This window comes from Homo sapiens, chromosome 16, assembly GCF_000001405.40.
Source record: "Homo sapiens chromosome 16, GRCh38.p14 Primary Assembly".
Classification (NCBI taxonomy): Eukaryota; Metazoa; Chordata; class Mammalia; order Primates; family Hominidae; genus Homo; species Homo sapiens.
The window spans coordinates 17,496,720-17,498,362 of record NC_000016.10 but is presented as its reverse complement, the minus strand read 5'-3'; the positions used below and the strand labels follow the sequence as shown (position 1 = coordinate 17,498,362).

The 1,643-nt window shown below is 41.3% G+C and overlaps 1 annotated feature.

The window, feature by feature from the left end:
• Positions 566-1,165: an enhancer, noted in NCBI's record as "OCT4-NANOG hESC enhancer chr16:17591055-17591654 (GRCh37/hg19 assembly coordinates)". NCBI's record gives its function as "activates a minimal SCP1, AML or CMV promoter by ChIP-STARR-seq in naive and primed H9 embryonic stem cells {active_cell/tissue: H9 hESC(naive and primed)}" and the evidence as "EXISTENCE:reporter gene assay evidence [ECO:0000049][PMID:30033119]".

The window sequence follows — 1,643 nt, the reverse complement described above, 5'->3', positions numbered from 1 at the left end:
GTGTCATACGTGGCATCAGCATGCCTGGGTCAGGGCTTGGTGCTGGCCTTGTAGAGAGAGGAGCAGACGTGCACTTCTTTCTGTCTCTACTCCTGGGGCCCAGACTAGCTCCTTTGCAGCTGCTCTTCTGCTGTTTCCCTTTAACGGATTTGAGGATCCAGGCTCAGGGGTATGTATCAGGGAAACACACTGTGGTTGTGGGTATAAGCCTTACCTTCTGGCCTGGCATTACCAACAATAAAGCTGGTATTTTGGCCAGTCATTTGTTGTTATGCTTATTCCTCGATTTGTTCACAATGCAAAAGAAAAAAAAAATGGGTGCTCCTGAGTAGCACGTGACAGGGATCCCCAGAGGGACAATAGTCAAAATTCTACTCTATGGGTTGGTCCAGAATCAAGGAGCAGAAACAGCTTGGAGAAATTGACCTTCAGCAGGAGGCTGAAGTCTGTTTTGTGTGAGATGATGTGGACCACATCCCACATCCCACATCTTATTTGCATTTATCAGTGGTTGTTTCTGCAGACGGTTAGTCATGAGCCAATTATGCCTTGTGCATGGGGAATTTTAACCACTTTATCCAACAGACACAAAGTCTGTGTGACAGGAGGCTTCAGTTTCCTGGAAGATGGCTGTCCTGGAGACACAAGGTGGTTGACCGTTGACCAGCTCTTCTGCTCTAGTTGCCTTCCATTAATGTTGTGTCAATTTCATTAACATGTACAAGGTTTGGGGAAAGTATAAAGGGATTGGCAAGCCTGAGAAGAAACCGAGATCCCTTTGTACATCAGTCACTCCCAAAGACTGACCCTTTTCAGCTCCTGAAACCATCAGAAACTATTTGATCCCATTCATTTCCATGTTGAGGTTGATGGTTTAATGGGCTTCAAAGCCTCTTAACCCACAGCTTGCTGCCTGCTAGTCCTTTGTATGCAAAAGATTCCTTCAAAATACATTCACTCAAAAGCTTGTATATGCAAATGCATCCTGGGGAAGATGAGATTCCACAGTGATCAGGGGGTGTCTCTTCATTGCCAGTTGCGTTATAGTCATTGTTTGTTTCATCTAGAACATTCCCACCTCCCATATGGAGAAGTCTCTTGCTAGAAGTTACTTGCCTATCCCCCTCCTTTTTTTTTTTTTTTCATTTCTACAGTGTTATCCATTTGGAGAGGGACTTTCTTATTTACACAGAAGACCACATATTGTATGATTCCATTTATATAAAATGTCCAGAAAAGGCAAAACCATAGAGACAAAGTAGATTAGTGGTTTCCTGGGGCTGGGAGTGAAAATGTGAAGTAACTGTAAATGGGTATGTGGGATCCTACTGGGTGATGAAAATGTCCTAAAAATAGATGATGTTGGATGGTTACACAACTCTGTAAATTTGCCAAGAGTTGTTAAATTATACACTTAAAATTGGTAAATGTTATGATCTATAATTTGCACCTCAGTCAAGTTGTTTTTTTTTTTGACACATTTATTGAGATATAATTCACATTCCATACCATTCACCAATTTAAAGTAAGTAATTCAATTTTTTTAATTATACTTTAAGTTCTAGGATACATGTACACAACATGCAGTTTTGATACATAGGTATACATGTGCCATGTTGGTTTGCTGCACCCATCAACTCATC